The sequence below is a fragment of the Homo sapiens genome, chromosome 1 (assembly GCF_000001405.40).
Source record: "Homo sapiens chromosome 1, GRCh38.p14 Primary Assembly".
Classification (NCBI taxonomy): Eukaryota; Metazoa; Chordata; class Mammalia; order Primates; family Hominidae; genus Homo; species Homo sapiens.
The window spans coordinates 156,859,556-156,879,069 of NC_000001.11; the positions used below are offsets into that span (position 1 = coordinate 156,859,556).

General features: G+C 55.6%; 1 protein-coding gene across 3 annotated transcripts in view, besides 6 other annotated features; it reads left to right on the forward strand.

Annotated features, from left to right (window-relative positions):
* NTRK1 (neurotrophic receptor tyrosine kinase 1) overlaps nucleotides 1–19,514 on the forward strand; it is a 66,101-nt gene that overhangs the window by 43,806 nt on the left and 2,781 nt on the right. The window contains exons 1-14 of one of the 3 annotated variants that reach the window (NM_002529.4): nucleotides 1,310–1,591; nucleotides 4,799–4,873; nucleotides 5,173–5,244; nucleotides 7,355–7,423; nucleotides 8,549–8,694; nucleotides 8,950–9,092; nucleotides 12,068–12,200; nucleotides 14,078–14,404; nucleotides 14,828–14,845; nucleotides 15,016–15,071; nucleotides 15,351–15,453; nucleotides 15,965–16,111; nucleotides 16,525–16,655; nucleotides 16,845–17,017. In NM_002529.4, coding sequence (NP_002520.2) covers nucleotides 1,380–1,591; nucleotides 4,799–4,873; nucleotides 5,173–5,244; nucleotides 7,355–7,423; nucleotides 8,549–8,694; nucleotides 8,950–9,092; nucleotides 12,068–12,200; nucleotides 14,078–14,404; nucleotides 14,828–14,845; nucleotides 15,016–15,071; nucleotides 15,351–15,453; nucleotides 15,965–16,111; nucleotides 16,525–16,655; nucleotides 16,845–17,017 — 1,805 coding nt within the window. In that variant the 5' untranslated portion in view covers nucleotides 1,310–1,379. Of the gene's footprint in view, nucleotides 1–1,309; nucleotides 1,592–4,798; nucleotides 4,874–5,172; nucleotides 5,245–7,354; nucleotides 7,424–8,548; nucleotides 8,695–8,949; nucleotides 9,093–12,067; nucleotides 12,201–14,077; nucleotides 14,405–14,827; nucleotides 14,846–15,015; nucleotides 15,072–15,350; nucleotides 15,454–15,964; nucleotides 16,112–16,524; nucleotides 16,656–16,844; nucleotides 17,018–19,514 lie in introns of those variants that run through there. The other 2 variants (NM_001012331.2, NM_001007792.1) reach the window with 2 other exon arrangements.
* Nucleotides 926–995: an enhancer, noted in NCBI's record as "active region_1885". NCBI's record gives its function as "activates an Ori minimal core promoter by ATAC-STARR-seq in GM12878 lymphoblastoid cells {active_cell/tissue: GM12878}" and the evidence as "EXISTENCE:reporter gene assay evidence [ECO:0000049][PMID:35858748]".
* Nucleotides 1,286–1,355: a silencer, noted in NCBI's record as "silent region_1439". NCBI's record gives its function as "represses an Ori minimal core promoter by ATAC-STARR-seq in GM12878 lymphoblastoid cells {active_cell/tissue: GM12878}" and the evidence as "EXISTENCE:reporter gene assay evidence [ECO:0000049][PMID:35858748]".
* Nucleotides 1,376–1,425: a silencer, noted in NCBI's record as "silent region_1440". NCBI's record gives its function as "represses an Ori minimal core promoter by ATAC-STARR-seq in GM12878 lymphoblastoid cells {active_cell/tissue: GM12878}" and the evidence as "EXISTENCE:reporter gene assay evidence [ECO:0000049][PMID:35858748]".
* Nucleotides 1,608–2,151: an enhancer, noted in NCBI's record as "H3K4me1 hESC enhancer chr1:156830955-156831498 (GRCh37/hg19 assembly coordinates)". NCBI's record gives its function as "activates a minimal SCP1, AML or CMV promoter by ChIP-STARR-seq in naive H9 embryonic stem cells {active_cell/tissue: H9 hESC(naive)}" and the evidence as "EXISTENCE:reporter gene assay evidence [ECO:0000049][PMID:30033119]".
* Nucleotides 7,234–7,891: an enhancer, noted in NCBI's record as "H3K4me1 hESC enhancer chr1:156836581-156837238 (GRCh37/hg19 assembly coordinates)". NCBI's record gives its function as "activates a minimal SCP1, AML or CMV promoter by ChIP-STARR-seq in naive H9 embryonic stem cells {active_cell/tissue: H9 hESC(naive)}" and the evidence as "EXISTENCE:reporter gene assay evidence [ECO:0000049][PMID:30033119]".
* Nucleotides 15,490–16,387: an enhancer, noted in NCBI's record as "H3K4me1 hESC enhancer chr1:156844837-156845734 (GRCh37/hg19 assembly coordinates)". NCBI's record gives its function as "activates a minimal SCP1, AML or CMV promoter by ChIP-STARR-seq in primed H9 embryonic stem cells {active_cell/tissue: H9 hESC(primed)}" and the evidence as "EXISTENCE:reporter gene assay evidence [ECO:0000049][PMID:30033119]".

Below are 19,514 nucleotides of genomic sequence, written 5' to 3' on the forward strand. Positions count from 1 at the left end.
CCTCCTTGTCCTCTTTGGAGACCCCTTAGCGCCAGGCTCCGTCACCGCCTAGTCCCTTGGTTCTGACCAAGATCCCGAGGAAGAAGGCGATCACTGTGTAGGGCTCTGCCTCCGTCTGGTCACCTTCTTGAGCTCAGGCTGCTCGGTCGGTCTGTGTGTCCCTGTCTCGGGGACTTGGGGGGCCATCCGTGCTGGGGCCTTGGCGGAGAGAACCGTGAGCCTCTAGGAGGTCGTCCTTCCCCCGCTCCCTGGGGCCTTGCCTGTCTCCCCGCCAAGAGACACCCCTCTTCCCTTCGCTCTCCCCAGCTTGAGACGGATGGGTTAGTGCAGCCACGGAGGCTTGCGCGGTGGGAGGGGTTGGGACCAGCCTTCTGCTGCCCTGGGTGCTGGGGATCCCGGGGCTTTCCAGGTGCTCGGCCTCCAAGGTGCGCGGTCCTCAGCTCCACCCGCGGGCGGCTCCTGCGTCCGAGGAGCTAAGAGAAGATCTATTAATTTCTTCACGAATAAATCGATGCTCTTGTCAGGGAGGCGATCGATGTCAGCCCTGCCCTGCCTTGCCCTATCCTGCCCCGGGGCCGGCGCTGGCTGGCCGGGGTCAGGGACTGAAGCTGAGACCTGAGGCGTTGCTCACTGGGGGCTGCAGATCGCACCCCCAGGCACCCAGCGCGGGCGGGGAGCTCGCGCCTTTGCGCGCGGGCTTCTCGCGCCACCCTGTGGCTTCTCTTGGAGGCGCGGTCTTGGCTCTCCGGACTCCCTTCGGCCGGATTAGGCGACCCCTTCCCTTTCTCTGCCCCGTCTGTGTCTTCCTCCCCAGGTTCTGCGATTGATCCTTTGGTAGTCCTTTTCGTTTTCTTCCTAGAGTTCGGAGAATGTTCTACCTAACTTACTCCAAGTGACATGCTCACTCCCCTAGGCACGCGCGCCGCGAGGATGGAGCGCTGAGCCTGGGGCTGGCTAGGATGACCTGGACAGCAACCTTTCCTCAACGCAGTCATCTTCCCTCCTCCCCAAATGTAAAAATGCAGCTGCTTTAAGCTGAGAGAAATAACGTATCAGCTTCCCACCTCCGGCCTCAGCAGACACCTCCGAGGCGTTCTGCTGCGGCCCCTCAGCGTCTGCCGGAGCTGAGGCGGATCCTCGGGGAGAAGGCTGACGCTGGGGGCCCCTAACAGGGGAGGGGGCAGAGGGGGGGGCGTCAGAGAGTAGGAAGCGGGTGGAGAAGAGGGGCAAGGCGGGGCCGGGCGGGGGCCGCTGGCTCCGCCCTTTCCTGGCGGCTGGGTCTTTAACACCGCCCAGCGCACATGTCGGGGGAGGCCTGGCAGCTGCAGCTGGGAGCGCACAGACGGCTGCCCCGCCTGAGCGAGGCGGGCGCCGCCGCGATGCTGCGAGGCGGACGGCGCGGGCAGCTTGGCTGGCACAGCTGGGCTGCGGGGCCGGGCAGCCTGCTGGCTTGGCTGATACTGGCATCTGCGGGCGCCGCACCCTGCCCCGATGCCTGCTGCCCCCACGGCTCCTCGGGACTGCGATGCACCCGGGATGGGGCCCTGGATAGCCTCCACCACCTGCCCGGCGCAGAGAACCTGACTGAGCTGTGAGTGTCCGGCGGGCGGTGGGGGGGCGCGGGGACAGGCAGGCATTGCAGTGCCCCGAGGGCGCGGACTCGCTGCTTGTTTGCTGGTCAGGCAGGACGAGCACGGCGGAAGGCTGGCACCACGCAGCCTTCGGCGCTGCCCGGGCGTTCCTCCGCAGCCGCCGCTGCCCTAGCAAGCTTTATGGTCAGTGCCTGGATGTCCCCTAGTGTTCAGGGCAGCTGGGCCGCCGGCTTCAGGGAGATCGAAGGGGGAAATCTCCGTGGACCAGGTCTGAGAGAGCCTAGCCGTCTAGAAGGCGCTTTCTGGAGCTCAGCCAGAAGCCCCTGCTCTGTCCTACAGAGAAGGATGGTTACCAGCAGAGAAGTCCCCAGTTTGTCACCCTTACTGCCTTTTTCCTTTTCTAGGGGCAAGCCAGCCCCCGCCCACTTTCTTGTTATGAGGAGGCAACCCTAGCTTTTCTTCTGGAATTGGGGATTGAGCTGGCTGGCATTGGTGGGAGGCGGTGAGGAGCTGAGTGGTTGAGCTCTCCTCTTTCCATTTTTACCATTCCTTCCCCCAGAACCCGTTGATTTGGATCTGGGAAATGGGACCCCCTCCTGGATTTTCTCTCCCCACTCCCATCTCCCTCTCCAACCTTGTCTCTCTACCTGGGGCGGGGAGTCAGGGCCCTTGCTGAGAGACCCTCCTCCCTTTGGTACACGAAGCTGGGAGGAATCTTCAGCATTCTGCAGGACTCTGACATTCTGCAGGAATTGGTTACAAAATACTCAAGTACTTTTTAGCAGCTGGTGAAACCTATGGGAGTATGCGGTAATGACTGGCCTGGAGGTACTCAGGCATCATATGGTGATGGCTGGAAAATACTTGAATATTACATATGGCTATCATGGCCAGCAAGACATCTAGAAGAGGGGAGAACTGCTAGAAAATCCTCCTCCTGTGGCCTGGGGTTTCGAGGGTGGACAAGGAACCTTGGCCTTGTGCTGTGATGGGCTGGAAGGTATCCGAGGTGAGGATCATCACTGTCTGGAAGTTACTTGAGCAGCTTGCAGTAATTGGCACTGAGTTCCTTGGGTATCTCATGGTAATTAACGGGAAGGCACTCAATCTCTCTCTCTAATAGCTCTAGGGAGACCAGGAGTAGAGGAGATGGCCTTGTCTTGGTCTAGGCCTAGGTCTCTGCATGATGGGAGGGGGCATGAGAGACAGGTTGCCAGTCCTAGTCCAGTTCTCTCATCACCCTGGGCCTTCAGATTGGGGTCCAGACTCCTGAGTGCTCCCCATCAGGGCTCGTGTTTCCCAACTCTTTCCAAGCCCCAAGTGGGTCCAGCAGGGTAGGGATGGGAGTGGTAGGGGGAGTGGACAGGCCAGAACTGGGGACTAGCAAGCATGTAGGGTGGTGAGCTGAGATGTCCCCCTGGGTGGGGCTGCAGCCTGACATCCCCCTCCCCACTGCCTGCACAGCCCCCTCCCTCCTCACTCACCCGCAGAGCTAACGAGGAGATAATGGACTCGAATAGACAGATTGATTATGAATCCAAACGAATGAGGCAGCTTTGAGGCAGCTTTGAGCACGCTGGCCTGACAGCTCCCACACACCCTGCCAGCCCACTGCATTCTCACCCCCTCCCTGGGTCCCTACAGCTTGAAACCCTCTGGGCAGGGGCTGGGGGGTGGGTAGAATAGGGACTTGGCCTCCCTCGGAGTCAGTGGAGGTTACTTTATAGGCCTCTACTAAGTCCACAGGGAAACTTAGGACCTGATCCTGGCTGTCCTGGTGGGGCCAAGGCTGGGAAGGGAGGAAAGGAGGAAGGGAGGGGTCACTTAGGCTGGTCCTGGTTCCTATAAGTTAGGGAAAGTTAGAGGGTAGAGGGGGAGAGTTCTGAGAACCGTCAGTGAGTCAGGGGCCCCTGGCATGTGTATTGTTGGGGTGGGGGGGGCACACTAACATGTCACTACAGGGCAGCCGAGTTCTCAGGAACTCCCTGGTATGTCGGATCCAGCAGCTAGGCAGGCCCCAGGGCGTCAGCTGTCCCCTAGCCCCGAATGCCTACTCATTCTTCTTTCTTTCTTGTCTATCTCGCTTTCTGTAGCTCTCTGTCCTTATCTGTCTGTCTCCCTCCCCTTATCTGTCTTCCTTCTTGCCTGTCACTATCTCTCTGACCTCTTCCTGTCAGTTTCTCTTTCAGTGTCTCTGTTTCACTCTCTCTTTGTTTTTCTGCCCGTCTGCCCCCACCCTCCTCGTTGAGCCTTTCCATCTTTCTGTCTCTCTCTCTCTCTCTCTTGCTGTGTAAGTCAGCCAGTCTGTGCCTCTTCTCCCCTCCTCGACACTCTGACTGCCTCCTCTCATTGCTCCTCTCCTCTTTCCTGGGTCCCTCCTTGGGGTCCCTAACTGATAGCCTGTAAGACTCTTGCTTGATCTGCTGAAAAGATGGTAGGGGAGGTTTCGGTGGAGTAGGGGTTGCTGCTTGGGTGTGAAGAGGGGCCAGAGGCTATGGGGGTGCAGAGATGTTTGTGTGTGTGTGTGTGTGTGTATGTCTGTGTGTGTGTGTAGTACAGGTGAGACCAGGCAGTGGCCCTTGGGCGGGCACGTTTGGGAACACACATTTGCATGAGCACAGGCTTCGTCTGTGCTGGGTGGGGCAGTGGCAGGGATAAGCCTTGGCCTTTTGTGGTAGCAAGTGTTTCAGTACAACCTCCCACTGATGAGTGTGTGCCAGGGATGCCTGATATAAAAGGAGAACACCAATCTGAGAATGGACTTGTGTGTGTGCACGTGAGAGATGGACGTGAGCTTTGTTTCTGTGTGTCCATGGGTGAGCGTGTTCCTGCAGGCACATGTGCAGGTGCATGGCGTCATCTGTGCAGATGCTTATGCCTCTGTGTGTGCGCATGTGCATACCTAGGTGTGTGCATGTGTGCAAGAGGTATGTGAGAATGTGCATATGTGTGAGGGTGTGGGGATCCATATGTATGTGCGCTTGTGTGTTCATGCACACACATGTGCATGTGTGACTTGAGGTGCGTCTCTGTGCACATGTATGCATTTGTGTGTGCACGCCTGTGTAAGTGTGTATGCAGGTCTGAACAGGTGCATATGCGTGTGCATGTGGCATGTGCATGTGTATTGTGAGGGAGTAAGTGGGTGGGCATGGGAACTCAAGTGTGGGCCTGAGCCCTGTGACTCCCATCCGCTCTCCCCACAGCTACATCGAGAACCAGCAGCATCTGCAGCATCTGGAGCTCCGTGATCTGAGGGGCCTGGGGGAGCTGAGAAACCTGTGAGGGAAACGGGGACTGTGGGTGTGGAGCTCAGCATGGGCCTGGGGGAGACCAGAAGGTCAGGGAGGGCTCAAGCATCCGAGGGCCTGGGAGGACCTGAGAGGCTGAGCACTGAGGGACTGGGAGAAGTCAGGAAGCTCAGGGCTTTGAGGGGTCTAGAGTAGTTGAGGAAACAATGAGGGGCCTGAGGAGGGGTAGGGGTTCAGCACAGGGGACTGGGAGGCTGGGATGGGCAGGGAGGGCCAGGGGCCCAGAGTAGCTGAGACCTGGGGACTGATCCTCCTGCACCCCTCCCCAGCACCATCGTGAAGAGTGGTCTCCGTTTCGTGGCGCCAGATGCCTTCCATTTCACTCCTCGGCTCAGTCGCCTGTGAGTGTGGCCAGTGCTGGGCAGTGGGAGTTGGGGAGGACACCCAGACTTGGGCTGCTAATGGGCTTGGCTGTCCCCGGGGAATGATTGCGAGGAGGGCCCAAGCCTGGTCAGGGAAGTCACCTCACCATTCTCCTGGGGCTTCCTCCCATCTCCCTCAGGGATGGCATGCTCTCGCCCCTGACAGCTAGAGGTCCTCCTTGCCATCTCACTTCCATGGTCCATGCTGCAAGGACACTTCTCATAGGTGCCTGCCCTATCTTTCTTCCCAGGGCTCAGATACACACCAGTGCAAAGGGAGCAAGCGGCAGGAGCAGGACTCCTGGGTTCTGGCTGGGACTCCATTTCCCAGGGACTCATTGACTTGGCCCCTAGGACATCCTGGGAGCTGGGGTGTTAGGTCTGCCACTTGTCACCCTCCTCATTCCTGGGAGTCATAACTATCCCTCCTGTAGAGCAGTGGACCCCAACTTTTTTGGCACCAGAGACTGGTTTCATGGAAGACAATTTTACCACGGATGGTGCGGGAGGAGAGGATGATTTCAGGACGAAACTGTTCCACCTCAGATTATGAGGCATTAGTTAGATTCTCAAAAGGAGCACACAACCTAGATCCCTCACGTGCGCAGTAGTTCACAGAATCTAATGCTGCCATTGATATGACAGGAGGCGGAGCTCAGGCGGTAATGCTCACTCACCGCTGCTCACCTCCTGCTGTGTGGCCCGGTTCCTAAGAGACCACATATTTGCCCTGTTTATAGCCCCTCTTCCTTGCTGTGCTTCTCTTTTTCTTTAATTTATTTTTTAAGAGTCAGGGTCTCCCTCTGTTGCTCAGGCTGGAGAATAGTGGCACTATTACCCATCTGTGGCCTGGGAATTGGGGACCCCTGCTGTAGGACAGAGAGGGTCATGGGATGGGCAGGAGAGACTATCAGAGTCCCTGGCAGCCCCTCCCTGGCCTTCTGAGGGCAGGAGTTCAGCTCCCCTGTCCCCCAATATGAGCAGGCAGAGAGATGGGAAGGATGGTGGGGCTGACACTCATGGAGTTATGCAGGGTCCTCTAAACTCTGCTGTGTCCAGCAATTTAACAAAGCAAAATAAAGTGATGTCATATCACCGTCTATGCACCGGGGCTTCAGTTAAAAACGTGCTCAATGACACTTCACGATACTTATGTCAATGAATCTTCACAATCAACCTGGTGAGAGAGAGAGTGTTCTTGTCCCCATTTCATAGATGAGAATTCTGAGAATCAGAGAGGTTGAGTTTCTGGACTGAGGTCACACAGCTGTAAGTGGCAGGATAGAACTTACACCTGCTCTAGCTGGCTCTAGAGTGGGTTGTGTCTTTGGTCCCTATGTGGTGGTACTTCTCCCACCCAGCCACCACAAATTCTAGGTTGGCTAGGAAAGAAGAGGGGTCAGGATAGGCCCCTCAGAGGCAGAGGGTCCCAGCAGCGGCAGCCTGGCACAGGGCACAGGGCACTGGGGCTCCTACATCATTTTCCTGTGTGGCCTGGAGCCGGGCCCCTGCTGGGCTCACTTTTTCCATCCATACAACGAGGGGGCTGGGGGTGTGGGGGTGTGGGTCCTTTCCTGCCTGACCTTTTAGTCCCTGAGGAGGGCCCGGAAGGAGGAGGAGGAGGGGAGCTGAGGAAGTGCGTGGAGTTCCTTGTGGTCAGGTAGGGGCAAGGGAGTGGCAGCCTCAACCCTCCCCCTCTTCCTCTGGCCCCGTCCTGGGCTCTGTAGGGAGGGGAGCACAGATGGACCCCTTCCCCCAGCTGTGGCCTCAGCACTTTGCCAGCTGGGGCCAAAGCAGTGGGGGAGGGAGGAGCGGCTGTTCCCTCAGATCCCCCTCCCTGGGGTCTGGAGAGGGGGTTAAGTGGGGTTAACCCTTGTTGTCCCAGGGAAAGGAGTGGGACTCAGAAAGTCCCCCCACCCCCCACCCCACCATCTACACACACTGCCTTCCAGGGCTGGTTCTGGTTGCCTAGGCCGGGGCGGGGGAGCCAGATGTCAACTTCTTTCTTGGCTCCTCCCCTCCCTCATTCTGGTCAGAGTGAGGTCGGGTCACTCAAGGGGTCTGTCTTGCTGTGTCTCCACGCCCGCAGGAATCTCTCCTTCAACGCTCTGGAGTCTCTCTCCTGGAAAACTGTGCAGGGCCTCTCCTTACAGGAACTGTGAGTGGGGGCGCTTCCAGGGGCAAGAGCACCAAGTGTGTGTGTGCCTGTGTGCACTTGGGTCTGTTGGATGACATTGGGTCACTGTGTCTGTGTGACACTGCTGGGGGGTCTCTTTGGGGACTATGTGCATGCCAGTGAAACCCCCATCAAAGCAGGGGCTGCAGGACTACCCGTTAAGGGGGCTACTGCCCTGAGGAGCTGGCCTGGATGACTGTGTGTGTGCTGGGCCTGGCTGAGCAGATTACAGGCCCACTGTGTGTCCAAGGCACATCTGCCCACATTCCCAGGGCACCCTGCACAGGGGTGAGTGGGGCAGCAGGGGTCCATGTGTACCTGGTGGGCACTTAAAGCCTCTGGGTCACTCTGGGGGGCTGTGCCCTTCCCTCCTTGTCACCATGCTGAGAGCCCTTGCCTGGTTTCTCATCCTGGGGAGCCTGGGGTGAGGGAGCCCCATGCATCCCTCAGACGTCAGCTGTCTTGTCTTCCACTTTCTGCATTAGATTTCTTTCATTTTTACGTTATTTTTTCTTTTTGTAGAGTTGGGGTTTTGCCATGTTGCCCAGGCTGATCTTGAACTCCTGGGCTCAAGCCATCCTCCGCCTCGGCCTCCCAAAGTGCCGGGATAACAGGTGTGAGTCACAGCGCCTGGCTTATTTCTTTTCTTTTCTTTCTTTCTTTTCTTTTCTTTTCTTTTTTTTTTTTTATGAGACGGAGTCTCGCTCTGTCACCCAGGCTGGAGTGCAGTGGCACAATCTCATCTCGGCTCACTGCAAGCTCCGCCTCCTGGGTTCACGCCATTCTCCTGCCTCAGCCTCCTGAGTAGGTGGGACTACAGGTGCCCGCCACCATGCCTGGCTAAGTTTTTGCATTTTTAGTAGAGACGGGGTTTCACTGTGTTAGCCAGGATGGTCTCGATCTTCTGACCTTGTGATCCGCCCGCCTCGGCCTCCCAATGGCCTATTTCTTTGAATAACATCCTGTTACTGGAGTCAGAGAGAAAGACCTCTGTGTCCTCCCTTTCACCTGTAGACGGTCCTCCCTGCTGCCTAACTGCTCCCTCTTATCCCCTGTGATCCCTCAGGCCCTTTCCTTGACTCTGTTGGTGTCCCCCATGCCCCCCAGGGTCCTGTCGGGGAACCCTCTGCACTGTTCTTGTGCCCTGCGCTGGCTACAGCGCTGGGAGGAGGAGGGACTGGGCGGAGTGCCTGAACAGAAGCTGCAGTGTCATGGGCAAGGGCCCCTGGCCCACATGCCCAATGCCAGCTGTGGTAGGTGCCGGGTGAGGGAGGTGGTGTAAGGGGGCTGGGGAAGAGACCTACCTGCCTGAGGGAGAGGGCACTGAGCAAGCACTGAAAAGGCCTGGGGAATGGGCACTGGCAAAGGCTGGGGGAAACTGCCTGGGGTGACATCGCCTGGGCTCCAGGTCATTGAGGAGGGTGGGGGAAGGAGCAGCCCCGCAGTAGAGTTCTGGGGCCACTCCCAGCTCTAACACCCCTTGGCCCTCGGGCGTCCTGGGTGGCCAGGTGTGCCCACGCTGAAGGTCCAGGTGCCCAATGCCTCGGTGGATGTGGGGGACGACGTGCTGCTGCGGTGCCAGGTGGAGGGGCGGGGCCTGGAGCAGGCCGGCTGGATCCTCACAGAGCTGGAGCAGTCAGCCACGGTGATGGTGAGAAGACCTTCGCTGGCAGCCCCCAAGAGGTCCAGGCAGAGCACAGGGGACAAAGATGGGGAAAGAGAGACACACTGTGGAGGAAAGAGACAACGAATAAGGAGCACACTGAGGTTGAGGGACGGACAGAGATGGTTTAGACCCACAGGGCTCAGGCCTATGCTCTGGGGCAGCCCAGGGCACGCACACACCCTCAGGGTGGGCACTGACCCAGCAGGGACCCCAGGCTATACTTGAAGCCCCAGGACTTAGAACCCCTTTCTGGGAACATGGTGTTGGCTGCAAGGGAGAGGGTCACAGAAACCTTACATGTTGGAGCTGAGAGGAACCCAACAGACCATCCCTCCCGTACATCACTTTTCTCTCTCCCTTCCTTCCTTCCTTCCTTCCTTCCTTCCTTCCTTCCTTCCTTCCTTCCTTCCTTCCTTCCTTCCTTCCTTTTATGGAGTTTCGCTCTGTTGCCCAGGCTGGAGTGCAGTGGCGCGATCTTGACTCACCGCAACCTCCGCCTCTCGGGTTCAAGCGATTCTGCGATTCTCCTGCCTCAGCCTCCCGAGTAGCTGGGAGTACAGGCACGCGCCACCATGCCCAGCTAATTTTTGTATTTTTAGTAGAGACAGGGTTTCACTACGTTGGCCACGCTGGTCTCAAACTCCTGACCTCGTGATCCACCCACCTCGGCCTCCCAAAGTGCTGGGATTACAGGTGTGAGCCACTGTGCCCGGCAGATCACTTTTCTATATAAGGAAACTGGAACCCAGGGAGGAGGCACAATATCAGTTGTACTGCATCCGGGATGAGTTCTCGGGGGTATCGTGGTCTTTTTTCTGGAGATTCTGGAAGCAGCATCCTCTTGGGCATGTGATGAACGTATTAGTAAGGGAGGCATAGGTCTGGCTCCAGCTCTCTCACTAATTAATTCTGGGAATGACTTTCAGAAAAATCCCTTAATCTGCCTGCACTTTGGTTTTCTTATCTGTAAGCTGAGAAGGTGGACATGATGGCCTTCTGATGTCCTGCCTGCCCCTGGGCGTTCTCTGGCCTCTATCTCTGTTATCCATACATGCCTTTGGACATCTTCCCAGGCCTTACCCTTTGTCCTTAGGCTGGCGATGGGCCGATGAGAGTAGCCACAGGTAACTCAGTCGGCCTTGTTGACGAGGTCAACGGCAGCTGACAATGGGCTGTGCCCACCCAAAAAGCTGGCTCCACCTGGGCAGGAGGAGTGGATATGCAGGGACCAGGAATGTGTGCCTGGGGGGCTGGGAGCATGGTGTTTATTTGGGGAGCCTTCACTTTGGTGGGAGAGTCCACCCCAGAATTGCTGGAGGCCCCTGGAACCATGTTGAGGGAGATGCCACTGGGGCGCTGAGCAGGGGGCTTCAGACATGGTGGAGGGACAACTAGCCACTGAGCAGTTCCTCCCTGCTCCAGAGAGCAAAGCTGCCTAGAGTGAGTAAAAGAAAGGGGACCAGGCAGAGGCCATACCCCTGCATGGAGAGACCTTAGATCAACTCTGTTTGGGGTGATTCCAGGATTTGCTTTCTCTTTGGGAGACTTACATGTTTGCTACCATCTGTGTTTTCTAGAAACTACCTATACAAAAGTCACTCCCTACTGGGCACAGTGGCCCATACCTGTAATCCCAGCACTTTGGGAGGCCAAGGAGGGATAATCACTTGAGACCAGCAGTTTGAGACCAGCCTGGGCAACAAAGCAAGACCCTATCTCTTAAAAAAAATTGCACCCTAAATGGGTTAAATGGAGGAGAAGAGAGGCTGCTCTCCCTCAGTTAGGAGGATAAGGGGTGGCAGACCAGCTCAAGGGGAAGAGTTATTGGCCCCACAGTAGTTGGAGGGGATGGGACAGCCAAGGGAAGCAGAGGGCAGGGCAGGGCTTCCCCTCGAAGTGGCTGGAACCCAGAGCTTGCACAAAAGGCTGGAAACTCTACTGGAACCTTTGAACTCACATATTCCAATGGAAGCCTGGGGAAACCATACCTCCTCTGGCATGTGGTCAGAGGATTCCACATTTATAAAGTTTTCGGATAAATGAGATTTATCCACCACTTCATTATTTTCATTTTGTGAAAATCACTTTCTAAAATGTCAGAAGATAATTTGTCCACCTCTTCAGCTTACAAAACAAACAAAAAACCCACAGTTCAGCAAGATGAAGAATTGTCGTAAGATCATGTAACTTACACATGACAAATCCACGGTTTCCTAGGAAGAGAAACTTGATCTGATTCAATCCTGACGATGATTCAGAATCAAGTCACTTTGCCTGTCTAACCTCACCCATGGTCCTCATCTGCTGCAGGAGGCGATGCCGCTGCTGTTGTTTCTAACTGCTGCTGTGCTATTTGCACCATCTCTTTGTTTCTGATCTTCCTTGGGCTGAGACTCAGTTTGTTAGAACTGTGTGTAAAACAGGAATGAATAGGCAGTGAGGTCCTAGTGGGGTCTCCAACGAGCTGTGTACAAATTTGGTACTTGGGATGCGTGACATCTGTTTAGCTGCTCAGATGGCTGGTTTTAGTTTCAGTTTGGGATATTTTGTGCCTATTTTGAGGCTACTGGTTAGATTTTAGATTTTTCAGATAATTAAATACGTGATCCAGGCTGGGCGCAGTGGCTCACGCCTGTAATCCCAATACTTTGGGAGGCCGAGGTGAGAGGATTGCTTGAGGCCCTGTTCAAGACCAGCCTGGGCAGGACAGTAAGACCCCGTCGCTACAAAAATAAAACATAAAATAAAAAAAAAATGTGATCCAGGAGATAGTCAACGAACAAACCTAAAGGAGGAAGGCCATTATCTGCTACATTCTCTCCCACCCCTCTCTCCCTTCTCTTCCCTCCCAGCCCTCCTCTCCTTTCCATCTGGAGCCAGAGGGGCTCTCCAAAGACTTCAGCCCCAGCCCCAAGCTGGCTAAAGCTCCTTCTTATTCCCCCCTCTCTTTCCTGATCTAGAAATCTGGGGGTCTGCCATCCCTGGGGCTGACCCTGGCCAATGTCACCAGTGACCTCAACAGGAAGAACGTGACGTGCTGGGCAGAGAACGATGTGGGCCGGGCAGAGGTCTCTGTTCAGGTCAACGTCTCCTGTGAGTCTCAGTGGCAGCTCCGGCACCCACCCCCTACTCATCTCTTCTTCCCTCAAAAGAGGATGTAGGGTGGGGGGCTGGAAGAAAGGGTGGGATGTGTGTCTCCACAGCTGCTCCCTCCCAGCTGTTTCCAGATTCCCATGAAAACCTGATCCTTTGGGGGAAGTCCTGGGGTCTTGTCAAGGCCAGAGGGATGGAGATGGATTTCTTTCTGGCCCCCTGCCCGAGCCTTGCTACCTGAGGCCCTCAACGCCAGATGCCCGGCTGTTCCCACTGCTCCGAAGTATTTTTTCATGCCCGTCCCTCATCGGGTCCTTCTCCCCGCATCCTAGTTTCAAAAGAGGAAATTCTCCTCCTGAGTTCCTCTTTACGCTCGCTGCCTAATTTCTCTAGATCAGCCAACAAATTATCTTAAATATTCTACTTTACATCAGTTTTCTTCTTTTATTGTGAAATATACATAGAAATGTGCAAAAAATATATATATTTTAAACAATAATTACTCTTACCAGCATCACGGAAGATCCCCCACCACCCAACACCTCTCCCTGTTCGCAATCCCATCCCACTCTCCCATCTCATGTTGACTTTTGTCAGGATAACCATTTCCTTGCTTTTAAAAATAATTTTTCTCAAATATGCTTTCCTATCGGTATCATTTAGTTTTGCCTGTTCTTGTACATTATATAAATGGAATCATACTGCGTGTATTATTTTGTATCTGGTTTCTTTCATTCAACATTATATTTATAAGATTCATTCATGTTAATGGGAGTTGCTATATGTAGCTCATGCAATTCATTGCTAAATAGTATTCCTATGTATGAATGCTATATTATATATATATATACATATATTTATGCATACATACACTTTTTTTCTATCATTGAGGGGCTTTTACTTTTACCAGATTGGGTCTATTTCTTTTTTTTTTTTTTGAGATGGAGTCTCGCTCTGTCACCCAGGCTGGAGTGCAGTGGCGCGCTCTCGGCTCACTTCAAGCTCCGCCTCCCAGGTTCACGTCATTCTCCTGCTTCAGCCTCCTGAGTATCTGGGACTACAGGCGCCCTCCACCACGCCCAGCTAATTTTTTGTATTTTTTTAGTGGAGACGGGGTTTCACCGTGTTAGCCAGGATGGTCTCGATCTCCTGACCTCGTGATCCGCCCGCCTCGGCCTCCCAAAGTATTGGAATTACAGGCGTGAGCCACCGCGCCTGGCCCAGATTGGGTCTATTTCAAACGCATATCTTTTTTCAAAAAGAGTGTGTGTGTGTGTGTGTGTGTGTGTGTGTGTGTGTGTGTGTGTTTGAAGAGATGGGGTCTCAGCCTGTTGCCCAGGCTGGAATGCTTTGGGATCATAACTCACTGCAGCCTTGAACTCCTGGCCTCAAGCGATCCTCCCACCTCAGCCCCCTGAGTAGCTGGGATTACAGGAGCAAGTCACTGTGCCTGGCTTTTCCCCAAAAATTTAACTGTATATATTTTTGGCTGGTTTGATTGTTAGGGCCCCTGACCCATCTTCTTCAGCTTGGTTACACTGACTTCTTCTAGATTCCTTATCCCAAAGACTCCATGTTTAATTGTCATAAGCTGATACCCCACTCCTGTGGGGCTGTGACTTATTTATGGCCCACCACTTATGTTCTTTAAGCCTCTAAATTTTATATGCCTGCTGCCTGATTTATTTAAAATGTATTGTCAACTTTCTTCAAAACATCTCTCCTTGGTGAATTTCCCAGGGCCTGCTGACCTGTTTCTCCCAGGCCTGCCCTTTGATTTCGGGTTCTACTCGCTTTGCCCGTGGACTTGTCGGGTGTGTGCCAGGCTCCCTCCAGCTGCGCCCTGACCTCCTGCTGTTGCTCTTTCTGGCCCACAGTCCCGGCCAGTGTGCAGCTGCACACGGCGGTGGAGATGCACCACTGGTGCATCCCCTTCTCTGTGGATGGGCAGCCGGCACCGTCTCTGCGCTGGCTCTTCAATGGCTCCGTGCTCAATGAGACCAGCTTCATCTTCACTGAGTTCCTGGAGCCGGCAGCCAATGAGACCGTGCGGCACGGGTGTCTGCGCCTCAACCAGCCCACCCACGTCAACAACGGCAACTACACGCTGCTGGCTGCCAACCCCTTCGGCCAGGCCTCCGCCTCCATCATGGCTGCCTTCATGGACAACCCTTTCGAGTTCAACCCCGAGGACCCCATCCCTGGTGCGAGGGCCATCCTGAACCCTGCCCCCACTCCTGGGCTCCTCCTGGGTTACAGCCAACTTCCTGCTATAGCCCTGACCCCAGAAATTGGAGTGCCTGGTTCGGGACAGAAAGGAGTCTGGAGTCCTGGTGTCCCGCTGTTCTGGCCTCCTTACCCTCTCCCCAAGCCAGGACTCCTGAACTCCTGAGCTATTCCGTCCTTGTCGGCTGGCTGAGGAGACAGCCATGCAGCAGGGCATCCTGGCCCAGCTGGAAAAGGGTCACATGCATCTTCTTCCTTGAGGCCCAGCAGCCCACCTCCATCCCCCCTCGTCCCATGAAGGAATGAGTCCCAGAGTAGGCAGGGGACTCACTGCTTTCCTCCTCCCTCTGACTGCTTTCTCTCCTCCCTCTGACTGCTTTCTCTCCTCCCTCCTGCTGCAGTCTCCTTCTCGCCGGTGGGTGAGTAGCCCAAGGTGGAGGGCAGGTTCTGCCTGGTCTCTGGAGCTGAGGCTGGGGCAGAGGGTACAGCTGAACTGATCCCTGAGAGACCAGCTGGGGCCAGGGTTGGGGGGTTACTGGAGGCTACAGTGTGTGTCAAGGCTCACCCCTCCTGCCCTGTGTCCCTACAGACACTAACAGCACATCTGGAGACCCGGTGGAGAAGAAGGACGAAACACCTTTTGGGGTGAGATAGGAAGTAGAAGCTTGTGCAGACTTTGGGACCGGGAGGCTGGGTAGAGGCTCATCTGCATGTCATTTCTGGTCAGAGCAGGGAGATCACTACCATCTGGCCTGAGCTCTGACGGCCACCCGCACAGCCACTGCAGGGGTCCCCAGGGGAGGATGAGGCAGGTCTGGAGACCTGGCTCCGGGCTCCCATGCAGGATGAAAAAATGGCTTACTACAGGAGGCTCTGAGAGTACAGGAGGAGCCCCTGGATCTAACTACCCCTGTCCCCCACCAGGTCTCGGTGGCTGTGGGCCTGGCCGTCTTTGCCTGCCTCTTCCTTTCTACGCTGCTCCTTGTGCTCAACAAATGTGGACGGAGAAACAAGTTTGGGATCAACCGTGAGTCGGGGCTGCAGAGGGCTGTCTGTCTGTCTGTTCTCCTGGCTTTGTTTCCTACTGGCTCTTCCTGACTCTGTCTCTGGGGGGCTGTGCACATGGGAGTTCCAGGGCGTGTGAGTGTGTTTGGGGTATAAATGAAGGCCTGGCTGTGAGGCTTGTGAGTGTGAGTGTGTGTGGGAGCGTGTGTCGGGCTGGTGCTGGGGTAGTTTCAGAGGCGGCAGCTGCTAATTGGTGGCTGGATTGTAGTCAAGCATTAAGTGGGTCTGGGAGGTCTGGGCTCTGTGGGGGTGGAGGGGGAGTTCTTTGGTGCCCATGGGGCCAGGGGTGGGACAGGAGCCAGCACAGGGAGAGGCGGTGGTGCCCCCTTCCCCCTGCCTGCTGTCTCGCTCCCTAGCTTCTCAGTCTCTCCCCTGCAAGTTACAAGGTGGGGGTGACCAGGCATCCTGCAGGCAAGGGTGGGCAGGGCCAAGGTGTGGGCAAACCCCTCCATGCGGCTGTGTCTCCTCTCTAGGCCCGGCTGTGCTGGCTCCAGAGGATGGGCTGGCCATGTCCCTGCATTTCATGACATTGGGTGGCAGCTCCCTGTCCCCCACCGAGGGCAAAGGCTCTGGGCTCCAAGGCCACATCATCGAGAACCCACAATACTTCAGTGATGCCTGTGAGGGGCTATGCTGGGTCAAGGGCAGGGACGAGTGTGTGTGTGTGTGTGTGTGTGTGTGTGTGTGTGTAGAAGCCCCTAGGCCTGAACGATCCCTCCCTTTCTCCCACCCCTCCCCAGCCCTATTCCAGCCATAGGCCCTGTCATATTCTTCTCAGGCTGAGTCCAGCCTGGCTCTTAGCTGCATCCCCTGCCCAGAGTCACAGCTAGCCCAAACCATGTCCTCTCGGGGCAGGTGCAGCCCCACACTATGACATGGGGCTTGCTGAAGGGGTGCAGGTTGAATTTTAGCCCCCATGCAGTCCCTCGTCTGGGCAGCCTTGTGCAGCACACAGCCCTGCCAAGACAGTCCCCGCTACAACCCCAGCCCTCCCAAGACTGGGGCTACCGTCTGACCCTGCAAGCCCCCTCAGGTGTTCACCACATCAAGCGCCGGGACATCGTGCTCAAGTGGGAGCTGGGGGAGGGCGCCTTTGGGAAGGTCTTCCTTGCTGAGTGCCACAACCTCCTGCCTGAGCAGGACAAGATGCTGGTGGCTGTCAAGGTGAGACCCTGCCCCGGGGGGTACTGCTGGCCTGGGTCCCACCCCCAGGAGCTCCATCACATCAGGACAGAGTGGGGGGAGATGCAGAGGGCTGACATGGCTGGATACCGGGGTGGGCGGGCTGCCCTGGGTGAACAGCAGTGAGGGCTCGGCCCCCAACTCAGTCCTGTCCCTGCCGCTTCCATCCAGGCACTGAAGGAGGCGTCCGAGAGTGCTCGGCAGGACTTCCAGCGTGAGGCTGAGCTGCTCACCATGCTGCAGCACCAGCACATCGTGCGCTTCTTCGGCGTCTGCACCGAGGGCCGCCCCCTGCTCATGGTCTTTGAGTATATGCGGCACGGGGACCTCAACCGCTTCCTCCGGTACCAGCACCTGGCCTCAGCGCTGGCCCCGGCCCCTGGCTCTGGGCCCCGTCTTCCCTTCCCTATAGACATCCCTGCTTGTCTTTCAAACCAAGGGGAGACACCAAGAAAGATCAGGAAGGCACATTCCCGTCCCCAGGGAGCTCTGAGATGGTAGAGGAGGCAGATGTGTGAACATAGGGGTGACTCTTGCAAAGGACAAGTGTCAGTAGTCAGGGAGGTTGCGATGGCAAAGGCCGTGAGCTAAAACTTTGGGGTGGGTGGGCTTTGCAGAGGGTGTATGTGCATTTGTGTGTGGCACACAAAGGCCAGGCCTGTAAGGGTAGCAGTTTAGATAACGACAGTAACAACGACAGTAATGAACATTTATCAGGCACCTTCTATGTTCCAGGTGCTATGTTATATACTTTATAATTTATTATTTTTTATTTTTTAACATGTATTTATTACTGTTATTGTTTTAGAGTTGGGGTCTTGCTCTGTTGCCTAGGCTGGAGTGCAACGGTGTTGCAATAATAGCTCACTGCAGCCTCAAATTCCTGGGCTCAAGCAATTCTCCCGCCTTAGCCTCCCCAGTAGCTGGGACTACAGGTGCACACCATTGCACCTGGCTCTACAATTTGTTCTTATTATGGTTCTATGTGCTGGTACATATATATCTTGTATAGTAATATAAATATGTATTTATTTTTTATGGCCTCCAAGCATATATTGCAATTTACACTTGAAGCAAGTTACAAAAAATTCATTTCTTTGGCTTCGGACAGAACAACTCTGATACATTTATCTATTTGTGCTGATAATTTTAATAACTTCGAGAAATGTGCCTGTTTCACAGATAAGGCTTAGAGAGGTTCAGTGACTTGCCCAAGGGCACACAGGTAGTGAATGGCCCAGGGGTGATGTGGCCCCAGGCAGAGCCCCTACTCTCAGCCCCTGATGTGATGGTCACATGTTCCCTCGGTCTAGTCCTTCTCTGATGAGATCACCCCCGGGAGGATGGGGCAGTGTTTGCAAGGCAGGGAGAAGAGCAGGGTTTGGAATCAGCTGCCACTTATGAGCTGAGCCTTCTTTGCCAAGTAGCTTTCCTCTCTGACCTCACTTTCCTCACCAGTAAGAGGGACAGTGTGGGGGCTGTGGTTCTGGATGAGCAAGCGCTGTATGGTTGTCCAGTTGATGGTCATGATCTGGTCCCCAAACATCCCTTTGGGAGTGATGGGTCATTCATGCAGTCAGGCTGCAGGACTCAGCTAGGAGAGACCCCTGAGTCTTGGGCTTATCCTGTGGACCAGGAGGGAGCCCATGCAGGGTGTGGAGCAGGAGGCGAGGCCAGACCCAAGGTTGAGTGTGGAGGAGGATAGGCACAGAGGAGCCCAAGAAGGCCAGGGAGGAGCCTATCTCTTTGCTCCCAGACATGGCATAGGCTCAGTGCTGGTCTTGGGGACACAGGCTAGGGAGATACCAGCATCTGGGGCCCAGGCTGTGGGAGACGAGGCTCTAACTGCTGGATGGAACACTGGGGGAATCAATGGAGGGAATCATTAATGCTCAGAGATGAGTCTGGAAGACTTCCCCTAGGAGGGACCATCTGTTCCTTCTCCCCTCCAGGCCTTTGTACTTCCAGTTCCCTCTGCCTGGGGCATTGGGCCTCCCTCCCTCCATAGAAAGATGGAGACAGACACACAAACTCTACCCCTCCCTGCCTCAGCTCCCTTCGAATGGCTTCAGGACTTGAGTCTCAATTTAGGTGTCCCTTCCTCTAGGAAGCCTTCCCTGGCTTTTTCCATTCCCACCCGTGGTGCCTGCCAGGTGCCCCTCACACTGCACTGCCATGACCTGCTTATCTGCATCATACTCTGCACTGTAGCCCCAGTGCTTGGCACACTGGAAATGTTTAACAAATGCCTCAACTAAACAAATGAGGAGAAGATTGGCTAGTAGGAAAGGGCATTTTTGGCAAAGTGATCAGTTCAGGCAAAGGTTCAGGAGAAGGAACATTGGGGAATATGGATGAGTGACTAGGACTGACCCGAGTGCTCGCTCTGGGGAGAAGGCGGGCATCCTGGACACCTTCGAAAGGAAGGAAGACCCCGTAGGAATGGCTGGACACTGAGGGCAGAGGGGAGAGAGACAGGACAATCAAGGACTCCCTGGTTTCAGGGTCTGCCTGGGTGGGAAGGGTCCCTTCCCTGAGGCAGGGGCAGGCTTGGGGAAAGACACCGAGCTCCAATTGGCAAGGGCTGAGTCTGACATGCCTATGGCAAGGGATGTAGGGGCCAGTGGGCATCTGGAGTTCAAGGAGCTGCCAGAGAGGAAGGCATGGATGTGGGAACCATGGGCTGTCTCTGGTGGGAGCCCTGGAGGTGGGCACACCTGTTCCGCTCCTCCATCCCACCCCTCTGGACAGCTGCCTCTACTGTTCTCTCAATCCTCCACTTCCAGGTCCCCAGTCTCCTCTCCCATCACACGCGGCTGCTGGGGATCGCCTTCCTCAGGC